Below are 25562 nucleotides of genomic sequence, written 5' to 3' on the forward strand. Positions count from 1 at the left end.
CTGGGTCTCAGAAACAGCAACCTTTTGTCCTTTTGTCTGGACAAAAGAGCCCCACTTTGTTGGTACAAGTTAAAATTCTTCCCTCAGCCCCCTCTCCACTCTACTCCCATCTCTAGGGTGCCCCTGGTCTGAGCCCGCTGATGTTCCCAGGTTGCCTCCTCTGTCCTGGGCACCCAGCCACATCCTGCCCTTCTTGCCCGTCTTCTCCATTCACCCATGTCCTTGTTGCTGTGGCGCCTCCAGGTAGGGCTCCTCCAGGTAGCCCTGGCTCACGTCTCCCCAAGCTCTCCTTTCCTTTTTGCACTAAAAGGCTCAAAAATCCTCCTCCATGGCCATCTGACCCTTCCACTCCCCTCCCCACCTAGTCACAAGGTACCCACTCCCTGGATTCCTCAAGCCATAGGGCCCTATCATTTCTTACAGGACAGCAGTTCCAAGCCAGGAGAGCATAGGGGTTCTCTCCAGCCAATTTGAGCCAGGAGGAATTTTAACCAAAAGCCCAAGTTGGCTTTTGAAAGAGGCCTTTCTCCAGGAAAGGATTAGAGAGTTCCAGTCATTAAATGGTCCGCTGCAGAACGCTAGTTCTTGACTAAAGTGGTTGGTTTTTAAATGAAATGAAATAAATGTGCCTTTTTGTTTTTTCAATAAATGAGAACAAAAGTAGCCAGGTGTGGTGGCATGCACCTGTAGTCCCAGCTACTTGGGAGGTTGAGGTGGGAGGATCGCTTGAGCTTGGGAGGCAGAGGTTGCAGTGAGCCAAGATGGCACTACTGCACTCCAGCCTGGGCGACAGAGTGAGAATCCGTCTAAAAAAAAGAAGAATATTGTCGACTGTGATGGGAAAACATTCTGATTCAGGCCTCAAGTATATGTATGAGAATTGAAGTTCTGTGAAGGTTCGTGCATGTCTCCCTTGATTTTGATGGCTCTTGTTAAAAAACAAACCCAAAATAACCTTAGAAACTGTGTGCACACGTGAGTGTGTGCATGTGTGTATGTACACCTGTACACGTGGGAAATCGCGACGGCGTGCTCTGTACAAGTGCAGATCTGCTCGTGGACAGTTTCTCACCCCTGCAGGGCCAGGGCCCTAGGGCTCCCAGGTGGCTGCCACTTCCCCATTGAGGCTGTTCCTTGCCAGAAGACCTAGGGTCCGGTCTTTCAATTCTCTTCCTGCTGTGAGGAAAGTGTTTCTCTTGAAAACAGGAGCCAGCCCACCCCAAATCTTGATGCTGGGTGACACCAAAGACAGGAACTCTTTTGGGTTAAAATTTGGGGCTACAGGTAAGACTTGATGAGGCTTCTATCCCAGTGGGTTTACTGGTGAATTGGGAATGAGTGGTGTGTAAAGGCAGCCGGAGCGGCTGTGCATTCGTTCAGCAGCCGTTTATGGAGGCCCTGCTGCATCCTGGGCCAGCTCAGCCCTGGCGATCAAGCTAAGCTGGTGCTCCCTCTCCTCCACCTCTCTCTTCTGGAAGGAAAGGAACGCTTTCTTCCTTTAAGGCCTAAGACTCACAGCTGGCTTGAGGTAGAAGTCCTGCCTGCCCTGAATATAAAATTTTAAAACTTCCATATTTGGCAAATCTGTACCCTAGTTTTGTTTAGTTGTGTGTGGGCGTGGGGTTATATTCAGCACTGGAAATTGTGGGAGCCCAGCTGTGCATCAACAGCTTCTCCATCCAGTTAGGGAGAGTGGGAGCTCCCCATCTAAGTTTAAGGTTGCAGCTCTTCCTCCCATAGATCTGTGGTTTACCCTCAGCCCCAGCCCCTGCAACAACACTGACCCCTGGAGAGCCCAGACAAAGGCTCTGAGAAGTCCTGCAGACACACAGCCAGCCAAGGAGGTTTGCTTAGTAAGAGCTGCCCCTCATCAGCAGCTCACCATGTAGGGGGATTGAGGTTTTGTTTGTTTTGTTGTTGTTGTTGTTGTTTGTTTGTTTGTTTGTTTGTTGTTGTTTGAGGCAGGGTCTTGCTCTGTTGCCCAGGCTGGAGTGCAGTGGCACAAACGTGGCTCACTACAGCATCAAACTCCTGGGCTCAAGCAATCCTCCCACCTCAGCTTGCCAAGTAGCTGGGCCTATAGGTGGACACCACCACGCCTGGATAATTTTTTTGATTTTTTGTAGAGACAGTATTTTGCCATTTTGCCCAGGCTAGTCTTAAACTCCTGGGCTCAAGCTATCCTTCCACCTGGCCTCCCAAAGTGCTAGGATTACTGGAGGGAGCCACTGTGCCTGGCCAAGGCAGCTCATCATGTGCCAGGCACTGAGGATTTAAGTGTGGAGGCCCCATGTGGGAGGGGCCCAGGTAGCACGTGACCCCAGGGCCACTCAGCTCCAGAGCCCTCGGTCTCCTCCGAAGCTTCACCTCCTCTCACTCCATCCTAGCATCACCCAACCATTTTTCTTTCCTTCCTAAGCCCATGTAATAATATCTGCCAGTTTCCTCCAACACTGATTTGGGCTAAAGGAGCCCAGAATAAACAGGTGGCCCTGGCCCTAAGCCCCAGTCCTCTCCTGAACTGGGGCAAGCCCTCCACTTCCAGCCTCCTGCTGCCTGTGGCGCTCCCCTGTCCGCTGGGAGGCAGGGAGGCTGGCCCAGGGGGACCTGACATGAAGAGTCTGTCTTACAGGGCTCAAGGGGATGGCTGTGGTCTCCCCTTGCCTGTGTGTGTTCTACCCGGAATGGAAACCAGCTTTTCACCTTGTCCAGGAGGTTGGGAACCTGAGGGAACACAGCACTGCCTCTGTCCCAGCCCCCCATTGCTGGTTTTCTCTCCACCAGCAGAGTCCAAGCCCAAGCCGTATGGGCCCCAGCAGGACCACACTGAGCCCTCTCTCCAGCCCCGCGGCCTGGCTCTGGGATGTACCCATACCACCCCTTTTAGTCCCCTGCTTGCTGAGTGTGTCCCCTTCAGCTCTGGGCCTTCATACAGGCCCATCCCTCTGCTTGGGATGCTTATTCCTGCCACCATGGTCCCCTGTGTTTGGCCAACTCCCTGACACCTTCAACTCTGCAGACAGCTTACTTCCTAGCAAAATCTTCCCTGACCACCAGATCTCTCTCTGTTCATGGCATTTCCCACTGTGTGTGATTTTCTATTTTTATGTGGTTCTTTGGTTCATGTGGGTACCAAGCTGCTTGGGGGCAGAAACCCCAATTCTTATTCAAAGTTGGATCCCAGGGCCCACAGTGTAGCAGGTACTCAGTGAAGACAGGCCAGATATGAATGAATGGAAATGCGAGTGGGTTAGGGTCCGAGCCCACAAATGAGGACATTGGCCTTGTTTTCCAAAAATAGACCATGACTCCAGGGCCCTAGAGGAAGCCTGTAAACCTCCTGGTCTGACAGACATCTGACACACTTTGCGTGGGTCTCTTTCTCCACAGAGAAGTTGGAATAAGATCAAGACTTAATTCGCAGGCCCAGCATTAGTCTTCTGAACTCGCCGGCTATATGAGTCATCTCCACTGTGGAGGGAGGCAATTTTAAACTGGAAAGGTCAATCGACATGTCAGAATATCTAGTAAATCATTCGCGTTCCACCTGGTGCCCCTTCCATTCCCCTGAAAAAGCCTGCCCTTGTTCAGCGCCTCTCGAAGACACTGTGGAGAAAGAGGTAGCCGGGGCTGGGTGGTGATTTACCTCGAGGAAAATTAATATGGTGCCATCAATTCTGAAGGCAGAAAGGGCCCATGGCCAGAAGGCTGCACGCAGGCTGGAATAACTCACGGCCCATGAGGGCCCTGAGTTTGGGGAGGCCTCTCCTTGGCCCTGGATATAAATCAGCAGCCCTTTTGCAGAGAGAGAGTCGGAGTTTTGTCAGGCCTGGGGGAAGGGAGCCAGCACCAGAAGCCCCTCTTCCCCAGGAGCCTGTCGTTGTCTGAAGGGTTGAAAGGCACCTCTGTGCCACCCTTCTCGGCCAGCACCAAGCACTGGACTCATTTACAGACGAGGCCATGAAGCCCCCACCCTGGGTTCCAGGAGGATCACGGGAAGGGGGCTTTCAGCCTGGCTGTCAGAGAAGAATGTGACAGGCCCATTTTCACTCCACAGGCCTTAATTGGATGGTCAGAGGGCACATCTGTGGCTTATAAGAAACAGATGGCGGGATGGGTTAGTGAAGGAGAAAGCACGCTTGCTTCAGGTTGAGTGCCCGTGGAGGTGCTGGGGCAGCACGCTGGCAAGCAGGCAGACTCGGCCAAGACCCAGCTTTGTCACGTGCGTGAGGCCTTGGCTGTCCTCTTCATCTTTCTGCGTGTCTGTTTCTTCAGCTGTAAAATGGAGATGATGAGGCCCAACAACATAACATAGGAGGATTTGGTGAGAAAATGCATTTGAAATGGCTGAAGACAGTGCCGTGTGTTATAAGTGCTTGGTAGTTGTTATTGTCCTGTGGTAGCCTTGGGTCTCTAGAGCCAAGAACAGCCTCCTGTCTGGATCTGAGTGGCTTCATCCCACTGTGTGGGACTCTGGTCCCAAGTGTTGTATGTGAGTAGCTGGGACCACAGGTGTGCGCCACCACACCCAGCTCATTTTTGTATTTTTTGTAGAGAAAGGGTTTCATCTTGTTGCCCAGGCTAGTCTCAAACCCCTGGGCTTAAGTGACCCTCCCACCTCAGCCTTCCAGAGAGCTGGGATTACAGGCGTGAGCCACTGTGCCTGGCCGGGAATCCCATTTCAACCTGAGATTGGGCGGGGACAAACATCCAAACCATATCAGTACCTGTGGGAAGTGACTTGGAGGCCTCTCGGGTCTTCAGCTAGTCCTCTGGGCAGTAGGGAGAATCCTAAGTAATAGCCGCTTCACAGGGAGTCAGTGAGGATGAAGTGTGTGGAGCGCAGAGCCACTGTTTGTTGAAAGTGCATTGTTACTGTTATTGCCTTTGTTTTGGTAGTTAGGCTTGTTTCCAGGGAACTTTGGCTTCCTTGGCTTCTGGGGTGTGCACACAAGCACTGGACCAAGGATGAGGCTCAAGGAGGGCCCTGGGCTCATGCCCTGGGCTGACAGTGGAGGCCATGGGGCTGGTGGGGAGGAGCACAGGCCTGAGGCCACCCCACCTGGCTCAAGATCCCCACTCGCTACCTCTGTGACCTGGACAAATTCCTCCACCTCATCTGTAAAGTGGGGCTAGGAACTGTTTCCCCCTTACTGTGGGATTATTATGAGGATTCAGTGATGCGATCCATGTTGTTTTAACAGTGCTTTGCTATATGGTAAGGCTTCGGATAGTACCTCACTGGTAGGTAATTTCCTGTTAAGGACAGCCAAAGTGGAATTCAGATGGGGATGGTGAGAGCCGAGACATTATTTTGTTTGTTTGTTTGTTTGTTTTGAGACGGAGTTTTGCTCTTGTTGCCCAGGCTGGAGTGCAGTGTCGCTATCTCTGCTCACTGCAACCTCCGCCTCCCAGGTTCAAGCGATTCTCCTGCCTCAGCCTCCCAAGTGGCTGGGAATACAGGCGCCTGCCACCATGCCTGGCTAATTTTTATATTTTTAGTAGAGATGGTGTTTCACCATGTTGTCCAGGCTGGTCTCAAACTCCTGACCCCAGGTGATTGAGAGCCGAGACATTTATGCCCAGTTCCTGCCTTTCCAGAGCCTGGTGTCATCTTTTAAGTCAGCGCTACCCCATCTCCTTCAATTCAGTTCATGTCACCTCAGCTCGACAGAGGCAGTTCTGTGTCTGGGCACCAGGAATCCTCAGGGGGAGGCCCTCCAGCACCACCTGAGATGTTTGCCGTGTCAGAGAACCAACCTTGTGATCACTTACTTAGTAATTTTCTTTGAATGTACTCACAATTTATCCCTGTCAGGGCAAGATGGAGTAAGTTAAGCTAGTCCAAACCTAAACCCGTGAAATCAGGAGATCCATAAACTAAATATGTATTTTCTCACAACATCTGAAGCTAAATAGAGGTTGAGATAAAATTAGAAACCATTCACGTAGGTGCCATCTAAAACCATCTTAGGTCCCTGTCCCCACCCCCATCCCCCACCTGCTGCCCCCTATAGTCTGCACACAAGGTGGACTTGTTAAGGCTCCCCTGGGACCCCTGCCTGCCCACAGAGCCTCACCTGGACCCGGTCCCAAGAGCCAGGCCCACTCTCACGTCCAGGAGGAAGCCCTGCCTCCCCAGGTGTTAGGCTGGACTTTTCGTCCTACAGCACAGGGAGAGTGAAGCAGTTAACAAACCACATTTAATATGCAGTATTGTAATTTTAAATTTGTGGAACAAACCTAAACTACTACTTGTTTTTTTATGCTACCTATAGATATTAAATGTGGACAGATTTTGCTTGGCAGACCATTGGTTTAGAAGGCTGGGTTAAGCCCTGTGTTTGAGTAAAAGTAGTATTCAAGTAAAAGTGGGATTCAACCCCAGGTTCTTTTTGGCCTCAGGCAAGGAAGTTCTATATCTGCCTCACCAACACTTCTTCCAGGAGGGTGGAGAATCAGATATGAATTATTTCTCACAATCACCAGGAATGGCTGCAGCTCTGCTGGACAGATTCTGCATCTGTTCCCAAGCTCATCGGTCAGCTTTTACATGGGTACACCGAGGCCCAGAGAGGAGGACGGGGCTTGCCCAGGTCGCTGGCCAGGTCACTGTGCTGCTTCCACACAAGGTGGCTGGGAGGGGAGGCCTACCCAGTTTGAGGCAGGAAGTGTCTGAGAAGCTGGTCAGAGCTCCCCCGCTGTGCAGCCGCCCTGGGCTCCTCCACCTGGGAGCTCTTGGGACAAGTCTGAGAGCCTTTGAAGCCTCTGCAGCCTGAGAGTTTCAGAGCTCTTGCTACCTTCAGATCCTCTTTCCATACAGAACACCCTGTTAGAGCTTTCTCTCAGCTGGGGGCTCTCTGTCTCGAAAGGGGCCTCTGTGCTGACAGCCCCAGTCCCTCAGTGCGGATCACACATGTGGCCTTGCCCTGTGCCAGGTGCTTGACTGGGCCCTTGCTGAATCAGATGAAAGAAATCCTCTGGAATCCTCCTGCACTTCTGCAGCAGCTAACAACTTTGTTTCATGCTTTTGAGGCCAGAGGCTCTGAGAGGTCACATGACCAGCCCAAGCATCCACAGCTAGGACTCCACAGAACCAGCTCATCCTTGCCAGGTGGGAGGCAGTCTGTCCCACACCAGGGTATCTGAAATGTTTCTGCTTCAGGTGCTGTGGCTGATGCTTCCGGGCCATTATCTGTGTACCATCTTCAGCTGGGTGTGGGTGAAAGCCTCGTTGGGGATGGGCCCAGAAAGACCTTGGTGTATTTCTCACACCCAAAGAAGGCCGCCAAGGAAGGCCCATGGCGACCCCTGGGTAGGAAGCTTGGTGCTCTCAGGGAGTGGGATTTGTGCCATCTGGTGCACAGCCTCGGGCAGGAAGTGCACCAGGCCCCCAGCCACGCGCGGAGAGCTTCTCCAGAGAGGGCTGTGATGTGCGGCTAGAGGCAGTGCTTGGCACCCCTGCTCCTTTCACAGGACCCAGAAGTTTGCCAGATCAAAACCTTAGCATTGGCTGGAAAATTGGCTTACTTATTGCCATCTGTACCCATCACTTACCCATGGAGTGGGCGCCGTCCTGGGCTGAGTCGGGTGGGGGTCCTGCCGTTGAGTTAGTAATTTCGGGTTTTCCTTTTGTTGTTTAAAGGCATACTTGTTAGGCTACCAAGTAATATAGAAACATATTCACATTGTAAAAGGCTCAAACAGTGCAGTTTGTAGAGTAAAAAGTGAAAGTGCCCTGCCATTTCCCCAGCCACCCACAGTACCCCCTTTCCCCCCAGGCCACCTGCTTCTCCAGCAGGAACTCCCAGCCTCCGTTCAGGGGAGGGGGAGGGTGTCCTTCTGGACCAAGCTCTTCGCACCTGCACACATACGTATTCCTCTGGGTGGATAGCCTCGGGCTGTCTTGTTCACCACGGTCACTCCAGCCCAGCCACAGGCCTGGCACTTAGTAGACACCCACTAAATTTTTACTAAATGAATGACAGTAGCAGTAGTTTTTACATGAATGGGACCATGGACATCTTGTTCTGCACTTGGTTTTGGCACTTTAAAGTGGGGTTTTCCTGCGTCGGGACATCAGGGTATGAGGGTGGGCTTATCTGCCGTCATTGCATTAAATGGAAGCACCCGAGGGACCATCCCTTGTGCATCACCCTTGTTGATATGCATTGGCTGTGTCCAATTGTCCATGTTACAGAACGCTGAGGGGTCAGCCTTTTAGCAACTCAGTTCACAAACACAGCACTTTGTCAGGAGGCAGTCCTAGCTGTGAAATTGCTCAAATTGCCCTCCATAAAAGAAGCTGCCCATCAAACCTCCTGCCAACAGCGCAGGGAAATGCCTGTTCCTCCCCTCTGTCCCACACTGGCCCCTGTTGGTCTTTGTCATCTGTGCCAGCATGACGAGCAGAAGCTTACCCATCTGCTGAGCATGTCCACCTGGTCGCCTGGTCACCTGGTCAGAAGTGGCTATGGGAATTCTTCCCATATATCCCAGGTGGCCAGGGAAGGGCCCGACTCAGGAAATGGCATCTGTAAGAATGATAGGGCAGCCTACTGAGGGGTGCTGGGCATGACTCGCAGCATGGGCTGGCCCACCCAGCCACCGCCAGGCACCGGTCCAAACCAGTCAACCCTGTGCTCTGCTCCGTTTTTTCCATCCCTGCCTTTGCTCATCAATGAGGTGCCAGAAAAGGCTTCCAGCGGTTGGAATTCCTGCCTCCTTCATGTGTGTTTGGAGGCCACACAGCTGTGTTCTCTCAAACCTCCACCATCCTTTACACTCAGAATATCTGTTTAGACATTCCTAACTCTGCTTGGTCGTTGTTTATTTTAAAATAGTCCCAGAAATACGCTTGCTTATTTAGTTCTCCACCAAACACTCCATTGCGTAGAATCATGCGTCCCCTGCATTCTGGTTCCCTGGAAGAACCGCAGAAGGGGGACCTGCCTCATACGACCAGGCTGCGTCAGTCATGGGAGTGAGCTGTCAGACATTCACTTTTTTAAAAAATAGAAACAGGGACTCGCTATGTTGCCCAGTCTGGTCTCGAACTCTGGACCTCAAGTGTGGTCAGAATTTCACTTTGAAATTCTTGGGTTGAAGAAGAGCTTAAGAATGGGCTGTTACTTTCCTGTGTTTGTGGATTCATGGAATGATTCTTAGGGGCCATTGTCAGGAAAGGGACCATGGACAACCCAGCTGGAGTTCTTCCATACCAGATGTCCTCAGGCAGCGGAGTGATGTTGATGGCTGTCTGCAGCATTGCCGGGGAGCCTGTGTGTGAAGCCTTCACAGTGGACCACTTTCCTATTACATTTCTCCGCAACTCCCCGCTTACCTAACATCCTGCCTGGAGGTCCAGAGAATCTACAGTCCAGTGTTTTAGGAGGCTCTCTGGATTTTTGTTTCTATTTTATTTTATTTAGTTAGTTTTTGAGAGAGAGTCTCGCTCTGTTGTTCAGGCTGGAGTGCAGTGGTGTGATCTTGGCTCACTGCAACCTCTCCCTCCCTGGTTCAAGTGATTCTCCTGCCTCAGCCTCCCAAGTAGCTGGGATTACAGGCATGCGCTACCATACCCAGCTAATTTTTTTTTTTTTTTTTTTTTTTTTTTGGTATTTTTAGTAGAGAGAGGGTTTCTTGCCTTGTTGGCCAGGCTCGTCTTGAACTCCTGACCTCAAGTAATCCACCCACCTCAGCCTCCCAAAGTGCTGGGATTACAGGCATGAGCCACGGTGCCCAGCCTATTTTAATTTTTTGAGATGAGGTCTCACTACGTTGCCCAGGCTAGTCTTAAACTTCTGGGCTCAAGCACCCCGCCCACCTTGGCCTCCCAAGGTGTTGGGATTACAGGCGTGAGCCACCAAGCCTAGCCAGGATTTTGCCTTTAAAGCGCCTAATCTCCTTTCTCCATAAAGACGTGAGGTAAGCAGTTTTCCCTCCTGTGTTTATATCTCCCCCAACTCACACCATGAGCTGCTTCTATTAAAAGACACAGGAGATGGATAACTGGTGTTGAAAATGATATCACTTATTTCAAAGGGTAAAAGGGAAGTTGTGTGTGGCTTTCAGTAAAAGCTCACAGGCCTATTCAGTATCGGCCACTTGATGAAGAAGCCTTACTTTGTGGTGGATGCCCCCGGGTCTGGCCCCAGTGGCGCCTGAGAGGCAGCAGGTAGAGGCAAGAGCATGCTCTGAAGGCTGTGATTCACCTCGTAGGGCGGGTGGGGCTGTGTGCCCTGGCAGCCTTCTGCACCTACTGAGTCTCAGGCCTCCCCCACCTCTGCAGGGCTGTCCTGAGGGGCTGGCACTGCACAGGGAAGGGCGCTGGCTCGGAGATGGGTAGAGTTAGTGGGTAAATGGGTACTCCGCAGAGTCTGACCGCCAGCATTCAAGCTACCTCTGCTGCTTGCCAACCAGGTGACCTCAGCACATGGCTTAACCTGAGCCTCAGGTTTCCTTCATCTGAAAAATGAGGAAAATTGTCAGGAAAGCTTTGAGCACGATGCCTGAAACACAGCAGGCCTCTGATAGGTGTAAGCTCAAGTTCCATGACTCAGGCTGCAGATGATCTGCTAGGCTTTCTGGTAACCCACGGGTAGCTGAACTTGATGCCTGAGCTCCCCCTCGTAAGTTACCCCACTTTTCTTTGCAGGAAAGGTGTGCTTAAGTAACAGGTACTCAGCAGGGGTGTTCTGACACCCTGGGACTGCCATGGGTTTGCTTCCTCAGAAGGCTTCCCCGTCGGCTGCCCTCTCTCACTGTAGGGTCTGCTTGGACTCAGTGTGCAGAAGCCCTCCATTATCGACAGAAAACAAGCTCCTTAAAAACACACTTAGGCCAAGCACAGTGGCTCACGCCTGTAATTTATCCAGCACTTTGGGAGGCAGGTGGACAGATCACTTGAGGTCAGGAGTTCGAGACCAGCCTGGGCAACATGGCAAAACTCCATCTCTACAAAAACGAAAAACTAGCCACGTGTGGTGGTATGCACCTGTAGTCCAAGCTGCTTGGGAAGCTGAGGTGGGAGGATCGCTTGAGCCCAGCAGGTCAAGACTGAAGTGAGCCAAGATCACACCACTGCACTCCAGTCTGGGCGATAGAGTAAGACCTGTCTCAAAAAACAAACAAAAACAAACACACACACACACACACACACACACACACACACACACACATGCCAGGTGTGGTGGTGGGAGCCTGTAGTCCCAGCTACTTGGGAGGCTGAGGCGGGAGGATCACAGCCTCCCGGGAGGTTCCCGTGAGCCAAGATCATACCACTGCACTCCAGCCTGGCTCTGTCTCAAAAACAAAAACACACACAAACACAAAAAAGCCCATGCTTAAACCAATCCCTGGCTTGCAGGCATTTCCAGCATTTCCTTGAACGTTTTTGCAAATACAGATTTGAACATAACTGATTTCAGTTCCTGTCCCCAAAACTTTTGGTTCCTTCCTTCCTTTTGTTCGTGGCACAATGGTGAGAGTAGGTGCTCTGGAGTCAGAATCTATCAGGGTTTGAGGACTGGGTCTGTCGTCTATGAGCTGTATGACTTCGGCCGAGCTTCTGAAACTCTGTGGGCCTCGGTTTCCTCTTCTATAAAACACGGTGGTCGTGACAATTAAATATACTAACAAGCGTTTGATCCATAATAGAATCCCCAATGCATGGTGACTGTCGTTATCCTCATCATCATGACTGTCCCCAGTCTAGTGGGAGACAGGCCAGGAGGCAGGAAGCTCCCCCTACCCCAGTGTCGAGGCCCCCATGGAGCAGGGAGGAGCTGGGATGAGGAGCATCCTTACCTGGGCAATCTGTCCAGACCCATCTCAGGGATCTCCTCCTCCTGTACCCCCCACCACCTCCACTTCCCTGCTGGCTCCTACAGCCTTTGCACCCCCTTCTCATGGTGCTTTTGGGGCATCACATGGTGTGCACCCTCATCTCTTATGAATTCAGCTAGACCTGCTCAGCACAGCAGAGTGAGAGAGAGAAGGGCAGTAGGCTTCACTGGAGTGGCCCTTCCCTGCCATCCCTCACAGTGAGCCTGGGCCCTGGAGTTGGGACATTTGGAGAACAAAGCCACTTTTCCTCAGCCAGTGCGGTTACCGTGGCCATACTCGTCCCAGTGAGTATGAGTCTAGGACTCAAAAAGTGCTTCAAGGCCTCCTAAACCCTAGCTGACACTTCCTGTGGCACTCAGGCAAAGGAACAAACAGGCTTCCAGTGTACAGGCCGGGAGCATGCCCTGCTGGACACTTCAGTGATTCTGCCCGGACTCAAGGGTTGGAAGGTGGGCAGTGACTGGTCACCTTTCTCTTCATATCTATACCGCCTGGCACTGAGGAGTCACCAAATGAATCTGTCTTAAAGCAAAGTGGGCGTATTTTTGAAGAAGTAAATATCAGCCAGGCGCCGAGGGTGGGCAGATGCACCCTGGGCACAGCACAGGTGGAAGAGGGCAGGGCGTGTACAAGACTGAGCAAGAGGAGGTAGAAGGCGAGCCAGGATATGAGGGTGTGGCAGTGCAGAGAAGGGGCCCTGCTGAAGGACAGGAAAGTGGGCTGGGAGCAGCTCCAGGAAGCCCACTTCCATGGCACAGTTAGCAGGGATGAGGTAGCAAGAATGGAGGCGGCAGCTGGTGAAACATGCCTCTCTCATTCACCCCAGGTGAGAGGACAGTGACCCAAGCCACGGTGCGTTCAGGGATGGGGCAGGCTTGGTTAGAAGGGAGGACCCACAGGCTTCCTAGCCTGTTGGGGTGGAGGGGTGACGAGGGTCTTTGGACGACAGGCAGGTCCTATCATGTGCTTGTAGAAGCCATGGTGGTTAATTTCTGCCTTCTTTTGTAACTGTGGCATTAGGAAGCAGGACTGACCCCATTCCTCTAAATCATGCCCTGGTCTCAACCTTTCCTCCAGAGTACTTCCTCTTTTGTACAGGGCCCCTTCCCAGCCTGTGGCTGTCCTAATGAACCACCTTGCTGTGTCACCTTCAGGTGACCAAAGATGAAGGCTCCAGGGGCTCAAAGGGGAAACTGAAGGGTAACATGAGTCAGGGGTTCCAGAGGCTTGACTCAGAAGCTCTGCGCCTGTCCTGGGCAGGCCGAGCCTGATAAGTTTCCAGCCCTAAGGTGTGATTGCAGTAAACCTTCTGGAAGCCAGAGCCGGCTTCATCTACAGATGTGAGGTTTGTGGGAGGAGGCAGAAGTGCTCTTGTGGCTTAACGGGCCCTCTTGGCTCCAGCTGCTCAGAGGAGGGGCAGCTGAGAGCCACACAAGGCCTTGCCTCTGAAGTTTGAAGCATTTACAGGCACCACCTCCCCCCCTACAACTTTTTCCAGGCCACATCAGGCAAGCTCCTTTCTTAAGAACTGACCTTGTGTGTCTCTTTTTGCATCTGAGTTCTTTAGAAAAATCTCTCCCTTTTTTCCTGTGGGGCCCTGCATGCCTGCCTTGGCCCCACTGCCCGAATATGCCTTCTCTCATTTCCCTCCTGCCTCTGCCGTGTAGTTTCTAATGTAGCTCAAATGTGAAAAATTAGGTTTGCATGGTTGCCATGAATTTTACGTGAATCACATTTAAATCAATAAAGCCTGTAGAATGAATCAAGTTATCGTTATTATGAGGTAGCAGGGGGCTATTTAAAGGGGCTGTGGGCCTTTAAGCACATAATGGAAAAAGTTTCCTACTACTGGATGATCCCCGATAAAGCACTTAACCTTTTGCAGCTCTGGGCTCCCTCAGTACCTGTGATGCGTTTGAAGTTTCTACTTTCTTCTTAGCAGGTGTGATCAAGCAGAACTAGAATGAAAGTCACATTTTCCATGACTTGTTTCTTATTTGAACAGTTGCTAATCTTTTTTTTTCTTTTTTTTTTTAAGTGGGTAGTCTTTTAAATGACATTCTGTTTCAAATGTGTGAGCTTGGGATCTTTGATGTAAATAGCAGGAAAAAGTGGGCGGTAATGTTATGGAACGTGGAAAGCCTGCCTTTTCTAGGTCGTGCTTTTAGAGCAAGAACCAGAGAGAAGAAAGAAAGGAAAGAGAAGATGAAAAAGAAAAAAGGCTGTGCAGGGGTCACGGCTGGAAAGGCCCTCATAGCAGCCTGGCACATCATGTTCTGACTCTGGGTGCAGGGCTCCCCCCACCTCCCCATTTTCACCTTGATCAGTCCTGACATTCTCTCCACGGGCCAGCTCTGGTCTGTGTGTTGGGAATGACCACTCCAGGAACAGAGTCCAGGCAGTCAGCATAGCTGAGGGTTTGCCACAGTGCTCTGGACAGTTGAGTAAGACAGGAGCTACAGCCGGGCACGATGGCTCACGCCTGTAATCCCAACACTTTGGGAGGCCGAGGCAGGCAGATCACCTGAGATCAGGAGTTCGAAACCAGCCTGGCCAACATGGTAAAACCCCATCTCTACTAAAAATACAAAAATTAGCTGGGCGTGGTGGCAGGCTCCTGTAATCCCAGCTACCTGGGAGCCTGAGGCAAGAGAATCACTTGAACCCAGGAGGCAGAGGTTGCTATGAGCCGAGATCGTACCGCTGCACTCCACCCTGGGTGACATAGCAAAACTCTGTCTCAAAAAGAAAAAAAAAAAAAAAAAAAAGGGAGCTAGAAGCGTAGCTGTAGCGTAAGATTGGCACCAAAGGAGACCTTCACTTTGGAAGTTAATGGACTCAAACTCCTGGGTTCAAGCAGTCTTCCCACTTCAGCCTCCCAAGTAGCTAGGACTGCAGGTGCACACCATCACACCCAGCCATTACCTTTTAATTACACAAATACTGTGCAAATACCTTGTCTTTGTAAGAAAACAAAACTAAGGCCAGATACCATGGCTCACGCATGTAATCCCAGTTACTTTGGGAGGCTGAGGCGAGGGTTGTGGGGGATCACTTGAGCCCAGGAGTTGGAGACCAGACTGGGCAACATAGCAAGACCCCATCTCTAAAAAAAAAAAATTTTATGTAGCTGGGTGTTGTGGTATTCATCTATAGTCCCAGCTGCTCAGGAGGCTGAGGTGGGAGGATCATTTGAGTCCGGGAAGTCAAGCCTATAGTGAGCTGTGATGGCATCACCGCACTCCATCCTGGGTGACAGAGTGAGACCCTGTCTCAAAAAGTAAAATAAAATAAAAACTAAGTAATGTCCACCCTCCTCATCCCACTTCCCTGGATAACCACAGTCACAGTGGGTATGTTTTCTTCCAGACCTGTGTCCCAAGAAGCACACAGAGACCCACGGGAGGAATACAGACCATTGAAAGTTTTCTAAATTTATTTCCTGATTATAAAAGTATTATCTATTCACTGTAGAAAATTAAGAGAAACAAGCATTTAAAAAACACTTGTAACCATACCATACCCCAAAGATAACCACATGAGTTCATTTTACAAAAATGAGGTCACCCTGTGCACGCTGTTCGATAACCTTAATTTTTCACTCCAGGCCTTATGGGGGTGCCTTGTCCCTGCATCACCAAGCTGTGTGTCTCATCAAGACTTTTCCAGAGGTGGTGCCTGAGGCAATTCTTGGTTGGCAAATGTAGGAATATTTTGTCCATGTACGTAATCATGTCTTCTATGAAAGATGATGCTGATTTTGCGTTGATGTAAATGAAATTTTCCTTATAAATTTCAATACAAAGGGAGGGACATAATCTAAAGAAAACATCACATAAACGGTACAGGTGGTACAACTAGGAAAAAATCCTTAGGATGGTCAGGAAATGACTAAAGTTTAGGAACCACCATTTTAACAGCATTTTTAAAAAACTGACTGTATAACATGCCACCATGAGGGCCTGCCAAGATTTAGTTTCCCAGTATCTGTGAATTTTTCCCTTTTTAAGTCCTCCCCACCCCAAGTTTGAACTTCCCTGTAGCTGAATCTCTACACCCAACCATGAGAACGGCGGTAACCTAAAATTCTAGAACAGGTTAAAGGACATGCCCAGCTGAAAGACTTCTTTGCCAATTGCCAAGTTGCCCTCCAGGAAGGCTGTCCCAGTGTGAGCAGCTGGGTGAGTAACCAGGGGCTGTTTTCCTGATGAAAATTCACAACTGTGAGTAAATGCCTCACATCCCTTACCAATTTTCTTATCTGAAAGATTTAATCAGCTCCCTCGCCCTTGACAGGTTTCTTTCTCTGTGTTTTGGGGGCCTCTGTAAGTGCCTTTTAATATTTCCATTGTGTGTGTTAATCTTTCATTAGAATTTGATGCATCAGAAATATTTTTAAAAAGCTTAGTTCAATTAATTTCCTTCCCTGCCCTATTATTTTACTTCCTTCTTTACCTGAATCATTAATGGCAAGGAGCACCGACACAGAACTGAGTTCAGGGCTGTTCTAATTAACTCCCGGGGATGTTATGAGCAATCCATCAGTCCTGGGGTTGCATTACAGCCTCCGTATTTACTGGTGTTTTTTCAGTGAGCTTTCCCTGTGTGTGAAAAATCCAGCAGCTTTTTGGCCCCATTGGTTTACGTCTGTTTTATGAATGGCCTGAAACGTCTTGCCCCAGTGTCTGAGAGTGTGATGAGGAAAAGGATTTTGTGCTTTGCTTTGTTTTTCAATTATCCATGGGCTGTGAGTTCCTTGCATTATAATAGCAGGAGCACAAACCTATGATCAGACTCCACCAACTTCAGTGTTGGCTCAGGGTATGACCTTGGGCAGGTTTGTCTCCTCAGCTGGCCCACGGGCGACAGGTGTAGGGAGGTCTGCCTCCCACAAGTGATGCCACAAGGCCAAGTGGTATGTAGACTTGGCTGTGTGGTAGAATCACTTGGAGAGCTTTAAGGCGCCCGGTGCCCAGGTCACACCCCACACCAATTAAATCAGACTGTCTGGGGGCAGGAGCCAGCATCTGTTTTCAGTGATCCCAGGTGATCCTACATGCAGTAGAGTTTGGGAGCCACCGCTCTAGGGATTAACCGAGGCCTCTGCAGCACGCACTAGCATGGTGGCAAACAATGAGTTCTCAGTGCCCACCCCTCAACAGAAAAGCCAGAAGATGGAGACACAGAAGTCAGATCCTGCTCAGCCCCATCTCCAAGGAACGGCCATGTGAGCCTGTGTACTGAGAATGCGTGCCTGTGCACGCCGAGGATGCAGAAAGGGACAGGGGACCAAGTGGCAGGTAGCCTTTTCTTCTAAACTGCTACCAGGTATTTGCATCCCAGCCTGTTTAGTGTTGCTGCTGAGTCCCCTCCACCTTCAAGAACTGTCAGCCTCTTCAGTAAGGAGACGTGGGGTCCCAGCTGTGGCTTCCTAAGAGCTGAGCGTGAGGGCGTTAGTGTGGCCATCCATAATGGTATTTGGGATCTGACAAGTCTCCAAACCACTTGTCCATAGACCCTCCAGGGCCCTGCACCCTGAGAACCAGCCTGGTGGGGCTGGAGTCCTAAAATCTGCACTTTGTCCCAGTACCGGGTGCCCCAGGCTGCCAATGGGCCTCCCTTCGAGGAACCCTGGATCTCTCCCAAGACGCTGTGTGTGAGCTTCAGCCTTTCCAGTTGCCTGCACATTCTCGCCCAAGTGCTGTGTGTGGGAGTAACTTTTCAACTCCTTCGTTCAAGAGCCTTTCCCACCCCTCCACTGGGCCCAGTCCTATGTGGGGGCCAGGACAGAGAGATGCCCAGGCAGTGAGCAGGTCAGACCCTGCTCATCCTCAGAGGCCAGGGTGGAGGGAGGCAGGTGACCCATGAGGAATCCCTTCCAGCAGTGAGACCTGTGGCACCCCATGCCCATTGATCATACCTACTTGCTCTGTGACACGGAGAGACAGCTGTGTGGGAATGGGCTTTCTGTGTGCTCTGCAGAGAGCGTGGCGGCTAAGGTGAGGCATGGGAGTCATAACCCCCAGGCTGAGTGAGCCAAGAGTGCATGTGGCCAGAGCGCCCCATTCCTTCCAGGTCAGGGAGCTCCAAGGCCCTGGGCCAGGCTGCTTCATGCCACCCGGGTTTGCCAGGACAGGTCATTCTCATGCACGGCTCATCGGCAGACGTGGAGCAGAGCTGTTTCCCACGGTCCCACACAGTGGACAGGGTCTCGTTTTCTTCCCTCTAACCCTTCGCTGTCCAACACGGTAGCCACTTGTGGCTGTCTAAATCTACATTAATGAAAATTAAGGTTAAATAAAATTAAACATTTCTGTTCCACTGTCACACCACATTTCAAGTGCTCAGTCGTGGATAGCAAGACAACGGAAAAAGGATATTTAATTGTATTTAATTTTAATTGAAATGCAAATAGCCACATGTGTGGTGGCTCTGTACTAGACAGCATGGTCGTAGGACATTTCCATCAATGCAGAAAGTCCTTTTGGGCAGCAGCGCTGTCTAGCAGGTGGGGTAAAATCAGGAAACAAGAAAGGCAAGGGTTTGGAGTCTTTCAGGATCCCAGCTCCGTCACTTTCTAGTGTGTGGCTGCATGCTGTCAACTCTGCTGGGGCCCAGGCGTCCTCGTCTGGAACTGAAAGCCCAGATTTGTGTGGCTACCTCCTCACCCAGGTGCGAGGACGGGGCAAAGTGAGGATGGTAACAGTAACAGAGGTGTGGACTGGGCACTTGCTCTCTGCTTTCATTCTTCCCTGCCTGGGACCCACGTGCTGTTTTCACCCCTGTTTACAGATGGGAAAGTAGAGGCCCAGAGCCTGTGCTGTGTTTAAGTGTCCAGCATGTGGCAGGAAGCAGAGACAGTGGGGATTGTGATTCTTACCTATCTAGCCAGAGTTGCACCTGGGGTTTGGAGGCACGGCTGACTGGGTACACAGGCTCTACACCCCTGCCAACTGTCTGACCACGGTGGCTCTGCCTATGACACACTTATTTACTATTGGACAGCCTGACTAGCTCTTTTCTTAACTTTTGCCTAAAAAAAATTCAATCCATGGCTTCCTAGCTCTGAACTTGCCTCTGTGCATCAAGCTGAAGAAGGTGCAGGAGTTTCAGAGCCAGTCATTCCTTAACAGGGAGGTAAGACTGCGGGGGACTCAGCAATTTGGAGCCTGGGCTTTCTCACCACCTATCATGCCCTCCTACGGTCCTGCCAAAATCTCCTGTCTCTCTTTCACCTTTCCCTTTCTCCGCCTGCTGGTGGATTTCCTCTGCCAAGAAATTAGCAAGAGCAGCTGAAGGCGGTGATGCACACGGCCCGGCCAAAGTGAAGTCACCCCTGCTCCTGCTGTGAAAGCTGCTGATCTCTTTCTTAGCACAGGCAGCCAAATGTGGTTTACCCTTCTGGTCCAGATTTCACTAACTTAGTGTGGCCCAGAGAATCTTTTTACAAGATTGGGGTTTGGTTTCAAGCACATGGAGGGACTTGGACCTGACTCACTTGGGCATTTCCTGCTTGGGGTCCTGGGAATTGACCTCCCGGAAGATAACATTAGCAGCACAACCTCAAGTCAGTTACTGACCCTCTCAGGGTCTCAGCTTTCTCATGTGTAATGTGCAGATAATGGTACTGCCTGGGCTGGGTGGTTTTGAGTGCTTAGCTCAGTGTCAGATGCTTATTAAATATTACACTGTAACTGTTAGTATCTGAAATTAGCATGGGTATATGTTTGCAAGTGGCTGGAACTTTTGAAGAGTTTATTTGCAGGGTTTGCAGATGAACTTTTAAACAAAGTCTGTAACGGGTTGAATATACCTTTCCATTGTGCTGGTACAGTTTATACTCACAGATTTCTTTCAGTTACTGCTTTATGGTCTGTCTGTTGAGACTGTGGCTGCGTGAGGGCCAGACCTTCATTTTCAGCCCTGCAGCCCTAGTACCTGGGACTGTGCTTGGCCCATAGTAGATACACAGTAACTGTTTGATGAATTAATAAATAAAGGAACAAATGTCATGTTATTTTTTCTTAATATGCTTAGTAAACTCTTTGTTCGTGTTATATTTTAAGTTCCAGTCCAGGTCTTCATTATAAGCTTCCAATTAAGGGCCTGAGTTACATTTCACTGAATAATGATAGGCAAAAACCTTCAGTTCTCGCAGTGATCTTCCTAGTGTCCCCAGTTCCTGGGCAACTATTTATAGTCCTAGGTGTGGCTTTAATAAGCCACCCTTGTTGATGGGTCCCCACCCTCCGCAGCCTCACCCCCAACAGTCCTCACTGCCCTCTTCCTCATATCCCAGCCCCAACAAAGGACAGGAGTTTCCCAAACTCACCATGTTCCCTCCTGCCTCTGGCCCATGGTACATGCCCCTTCCCTGCATGTCCTTGACTGTCGCACTCTGCGTGTCACACTCTGCGTGTCTTGTTCATTCTGTTTTCTCCCTACTGGGCTGTGAGGTCCTACAGAGCAGGGACTGAGCCTTTTATCTTGTCTCTCCAACACCTTGGATGTCCAAGGTAGGCATCCCTCCTCTCCACAGACGTCTAGTGAGCACATACCGTGTGCCTGGCCATGAGCAGTGAACAAAAATGACAAAAATCCTTGCCCTCATAGAACTAATGTTCTAGAAGATACTCCATAAAAGTTTCTTGAATGAATGGAGCTCCCTTTTTTATTTTGCCCTTCATGAATTTCATAAGTAGTTCGTGTACAAGTTCATTTTTTTCTTTTCTTTTCTTTTCTTTTTTTTTTGAAACAGGGTATCCTTCTGTTGCCCAAGTTGGAGTGCAGTGATGCAATTATGGTCACTGTAGCTTTGACCTCCCTAGGCTCAAGTGATCCTCCCACCTCAGCCCCCCGAGTAGCTGGGACCACAGGTGCACACCACCACATCCAGATAATTTTTGCTTTTTTTTTTTTTTTTTGTAGGGACACGGTCTTGCCATGTTGCCTAGGCTGGTCTCAAACTCTTGGGCTTGAGCAATCTGCCTACCTCAGCCTCCCAAAGTGTTGGGATTATAGGTGTGAGCCACCGCACCTAGTTCATTTTTAAAAGAATTAAAAACTCAGAGGGAAAAATAGTTTGAGATTCTCCATTTTTACCATGGCTGAAACGTAGTTTAAATAAGGCCATCTGATTGGGGGTGTGGTATTGTATTACACACAGCTGTGCTGATAAGATTGCGTTTCACTTAAATCACATGCTTCCAGAATGTTGCTCTGCTGCCCAAAGTTTATTAGTAATCAGTTTGAACACAAAAGATTAAAAACGTAAAGCAGGGAATTTGGTTTGTGAGGTATACGCTTTTGTTTAAGTCCAAAGGTACAGCTTGTCTCCACCAGAGGTCTCCTATATTTTACTGTTAATGTTTGAAGTATATTGAATTCCCACAAGCTAATTAAAAATCAGACTGCTGTGCCGGTAAGCATTCACTCTGTGAACTAATTTCTGCCAAACGGCTATAAATGTGTCCCCTGGTATGAAATTTAGACATTCTTTCCCATCAGAAAAGAGGCATGTGGTTTAGTCCCAACCGCTTCATTTGAGTGACAAGGAAGCTGAGGTCCACCTGGAAAGGTCGGTTGCCCTGACTGAGGCCACACAGCCTAGTAAGTGGCCCCACTGGGCATCAGACCCAGGCCCCTTCTCCATCTCAGCTCAGTGTTCTCCCCACCAAATCCTGCTGGTTCTTGCTGGGTGGAACTCAGAGAGCTGCTGTTACTCCTAAGTGCCAGGCACTATCCTAGCACCTTACAAACATCATTGAGTTTTCATAGTAACACTATAGGGACAGTATTGTTAATATCACCTCTATTTGCTGATGAGGTACCTGAGGGCCAGAGGGGAGACGGCAACAAGCCGAGGTCCCACACTGGTAAGGGGCAGAGCTCAGTCTAAAGCAGCAGGCGGCCTGGTCCTCACTGTGCCTTCACCACAAGGCTGAACTGTCCCTGGAGGCTGAAACTCAGGGACAGACACAGAGGGAGGGCCTGAGAGATGGGCAAGCGAATGCTCCCCGGACCTTCTGGCGGAAATGAGGTGAAGAGCCTCAAACCCCAGAGGTTTGGTGGAAAATGGGAGGCTAGTGCTGGGCCCACAAGGGTCAGATCCAAGAATATGCTGGGGAGGAGCCAGCAGTCCCCCCAGAGAGGCCCAGTGGCGCTGCTCTCCACCTCTGCTTGGCCCATTGCTGGGCTTCTTTCAAGATCAATTTAAAACATTACCTCCTGACTGGGCACAGGGCTCACTCCTGTAATCCCAGCACTTTGGGAGGCTGAGGTGGGCGGATCACCTGAGATCAGGGGTTTGAGACCAGCCTGGCCAACATGGTGAAACCCTGTCTCTACTGAAAATACAAAAATTAGCCAGGCGTGGTGGCGCATGCCTGTTGTCCTAGCTACTCAGGTGGCTGACACAGGGGAATCACTTGAACCTGGCAGGTGGAGGTTGCAATAAGCCAGGAATGCGCCATTGCACTCCAGCCTGGGCAACACAACAAAACTCCGTCTCAAAAAAATAAAAATAAATCACCTCCTGCAAGAAGCCTTCTCTGACCCTTGGGCTGTGTCATGGCCTGTCTTCCAGCAGTCTACATCCTCCTGGTCTTCCCCTGCTGTGGCTCTTGTCCCATGGCATGTAATTGTCACTTCTTTGGGCTCCCATGCTAGACAGGAACCCCTGAGGGACAAGTCTTACCCATCTCTGTGGTCCTCTTTGCCAAGCAGAGTCCAGCACCCCCAGAAATGTTTGAATGAAAAGTCTGAGGCAGTGATGAATGGGTGTACCGGTTCCATCTATGAAGCCTTTTCTTCCCCACAACTGGCCTATGTCGGAGGAGAATCTGGGTTGGATGTTAGCAGGAGAGAATGCCTCCTTGCTTAGAAGAGCCTTGAATGCCAGGCTCAGATCCATTTGACCAGAAGAGCTCCTTGAGGTCTGGCCAGCATCTGTGGGTACCAGGATCCCCCACAGATGTGTGTGGCACCCACAGATGCCTTCTCTAGCAGTGTTAGTAATATAGATCCCAGAGGTGAGTTTTGTTTTGGGGGGTTTTTTTGAGACAAGGTCTCACTCTGTCGCCCAGGCTGGAGTACAGTGGTACAATCTCAGCTTACTGCAACCTCTGCCTCCTGGGCTCAAGCAGTCCTCCTGCCTCAGCCTTCCAAGTACCTGGGACTACAGCCATGTGCCACCATACCCAGCTAATTTTTTTTTTATTAAAATTATCTCCCTAGGAGTCATAGAGATGGGGTCTCACTATATTGCCCAGGCTGTTTTCAAACTCTGAGCTCAAGCAATCCTCCCACCTCAGCCTCCCAAAGGATGGGATTACAGGTATATGCCACCACACCCAGCATATCCCAGAGGTTTTAACATATTCTCTAGACTATGTCCTCTGCCTGGGGACCTCACCCCCTAAGGAAGGAGAATACCCTGGGCCAGGATCTGCTCTCTGGAATACCCTTGTGTACTTTTCTGATGAGGTGCCTTACAGAGGAAATCCAAGGGAAAGAGAAGATGTAGCCCCATCTTCAAGAACTTCTCTCCAGAGGGAGGAAGGAGAGGTGGGCCCATACCACGAAGGTGGAGAAAAATCACAAGCCCTCTCTGCACCCCAGCTTACTTGTTCCCAACAGCATTCCTACAAAGTAGGGGTGTCCTCATTTTTCAGATAAGGAAACAGCCTCTGAAGGGTCACCCAGTGTAAGGATGCATCTGCCTTCTTCATCCCTGTAGCCCAGTACCCGACACACAGTAGCCCCATAGCCCTAGGCACAAATGGGGTAGAGAGACCCTGACCACATCCTGTGGAAGGTCCAGAGCAGAGCCATCACAGAGGGCTTCCGAAGACCAGGATACCCTTGTTCCTGGGCTGCTGGGCTGCTGAACAGCGGGGAAGAGGAGCTGTGTGAACCTAGATTCCATGTGACTTTATCTGGCTGCATAATGAGCTTAAGTATTCAGATCTTTTCTTGGAAATCTCAAGTATTCCATTTGGCTGCCTCACAGAGTTAGGCAATTTTATTTACTCATGCTAAACAGGGCCATTTTCAGAGAGGAAATTATGCAATGTACTATGCAAATGTGGCATTCCGAGAGCAGAGATAAGTGTGGTCACCGATGCATTGTAAGATGAGATCGTGTCTCTGGCAGCTGGGTGTCACTTGATAAGGGGATATGCCAGACTGTACTTGGAACTGCTGCTCCCTTGGACTCGGTTTCTGGTAATTGTGTTTTCACCAAGTTGTCAAGCTGTGAACTGCACGTATTGAAGAAGAGGAACAAGGAGTGAAGCTTTTGCAAGTTGCTCATCCTTAAGTAGACTTCAGCAGTCAGAGAGGCTGCCCCCATACATGTTCTGGACACATGGGAACAAGGAGGGTAAAATTCTCATCCTCCATTCTCCCAAGAAGAGTCTTAAAATTTGACACGGGGGAAAGATGAAGACACACAACTGGTTTTCCTGGCCACTGTGAAAACCAGTCACCTCATTTTACTAGACATGGCATGTGCCTTTCATACTGAGAGAAAGGAAGTAGCTGTGGAAAACCCCACCTTTGGAAGCAGACAGAGCTGAGCCCAAAGCTAGCACTTCCCCCAGCCTGTGGGTACCTGAGATTGAGGCACCCAGCCTCCCCAAGCCTTCAGCTCCCTGCCTGAAAATGGCACTTTCAGTTAGTTATTGCTCCTGGGCCGTGTACCAGTCACAAAGACAGCCAACCCTTCACACAGCCACTGCTCAGATAGTTGCTGAGTGAGCCAGTGACAGATTTATCCACCTCTATCTGTAAAGTGAGCATTGATACAGTGTCCTCAGTGGCCCTGAGTGTGCTGGGAGACATGAAGATTCTGCAGAGTTAAGAGATTCTGGAAAGAGTCCTACAGAGGGCTCCATCCAAACTCTTTCCATTCAAATCCTTGCTATTCAACTTGGGAACAAAATGGATCTTCACAATGATAGGATCCTGTAGTCATCACACAAAAGTGATATAAAGGAGGCCAGAAAACTAATAATTTGAGTGCAGATTCTGCATACTGACCAGTCACCTTGTGTCAAATCTGTTGTAATTTGCCTGAACTTCACAACAATGCTAGGAAGTCCATTTTTCCCCAAAAAATTTTATTTTGAAACCTTCCAAGCATACAACCAAGTTGAAAGAATTGTATAGTGAACACCCTCATACTTGTCTACTTGTCTTATCACGTATCTACTTTATCCACCAAACTTTTTTGTGGGGGAGAGTTAGAGTCTCTCTCACCCAGGCTGGAGTGCAGTGTTTTGATCATAGCTCACTGCAGCCTCGAACTCCTGGGCCCGAGTGAGCTTCCCACTTCGGCCTCCGAAGCAGCTAGGATTACAGGTGTGAGCCACCACACCCAGCCCAATTTTTTTTTTTTTTTTTTTTTAGATGGGGTATTGCTATGTTTCCCAGGCGAGAATAGCTCTGGCTATGTTAACCAAGCTGGAGTTTACAGGCTTAGTCTTAGTGCTGTAGCCTCAAACTCCTGGCCTCAAGCAATCCTCCTGCCTCAGCCTCCTGAGTTGTGGGACTATAGTTGCATGCCACCACACCTGGCTTCTCTTCTTTTTTTTTTTAAGATACTTTTCCTTAGAGGTGAGGAAGTGAATCTTTTTAAAAATTTATTTCAAAGTAAATTGCAGGCCTCAGTACCCTTCTCCCCAAATACTCCAGCTTGCATATCATGAAGTAGA

General features: G+C 50.0%; 1 protein-coding gene across 37 annotated transcripts in view, besides 5 other annotated features; it reads left to right on the forward strand.

Annotated features, from left to right (window-relative positions):
* The window catches only part of CLEC16A (C-type lectin domain containing 16A), a 237623-nt gene that overhangs the window by 136659 nt on the left and 75402 nt on the right, over positions 1-25562 (forward strand). The gene's annotated exons all lie outside the window — the stretch shown is intronic.
* Positions 10190-10279: an enhancer, noted in NCBI's record as "active region_10408". NCBI's record gives its function as "activates an Ori minimal core promoter by ATAC-STARR-seq in GM12878 lymphoblastoid cells {active_cell/tissue: GM12878}" and the evidence as "EXISTENCE:reporter gene assay evidence [ECO:0000049][PMID:35858748]".
* Positions 13651-13700: an enhancer, noted in NCBI's record as "active region_10409". NCBI's record gives its function as "activates an Ori minimal core promoter by ATAC-STARR-seq in GM12878 lymphoblastoid cells {active_cell/tissue: GM12878}" and the evidence as "EXISTENCE:reporter gene assay evidence [ECO:0000049][PMID:35858748]".
* Positions 19328-19437: an enhancer, noted in NCBI's record as "active region_10410". NCBI's record gives its function as "activates an Ori minimal core promoter by ATAC-STARR-seq in GM12878 lymphoblastoid cells {active_cell/tissue: GM12878}" and the evidence as "EXISTENCE:reporter gene assay evidence [ECO:0000049][PMID:35858748]".
* Positions 23730-23779: an enhancer, noted in NCBI's record as "active region_10411". NCBI's record gives its function as "activates an Ori minimal core promoter by ATAC-STARR-seq in GM12878 lymphoblastoid cells {active_cell/tissue: GM12878}" and the evidence as "EXISTENCE:reporter gene assay evidence [ECO:0000049][PMID:35858748]".
* Positions 24130-24269: an enhancer, noted in NCBI's record as "active region_10412". NCBI's record gives its function as "activates an Ori minimal core promoter by ATAC-STARR-seq in GM12878 lymphoblastoid cells {active_cell/tissue: GM12878}" and the evidence as "EXISTENCE:reporter gene assay evidence [ECO:0000049][PMID:35858748]".

Source organism: Homo sapiens, chromosome 16, assembly GCF_000001405.40.
Source record: "Homo sapiens chromosome 16, GRCh38.p14 Primary Assembly".
Classification (NCBI taxonomy): Eukaryota; Metazoa; Chordata; class Mammalia; order Primates; family Hominidae; genus Homo; species Homo sapiens.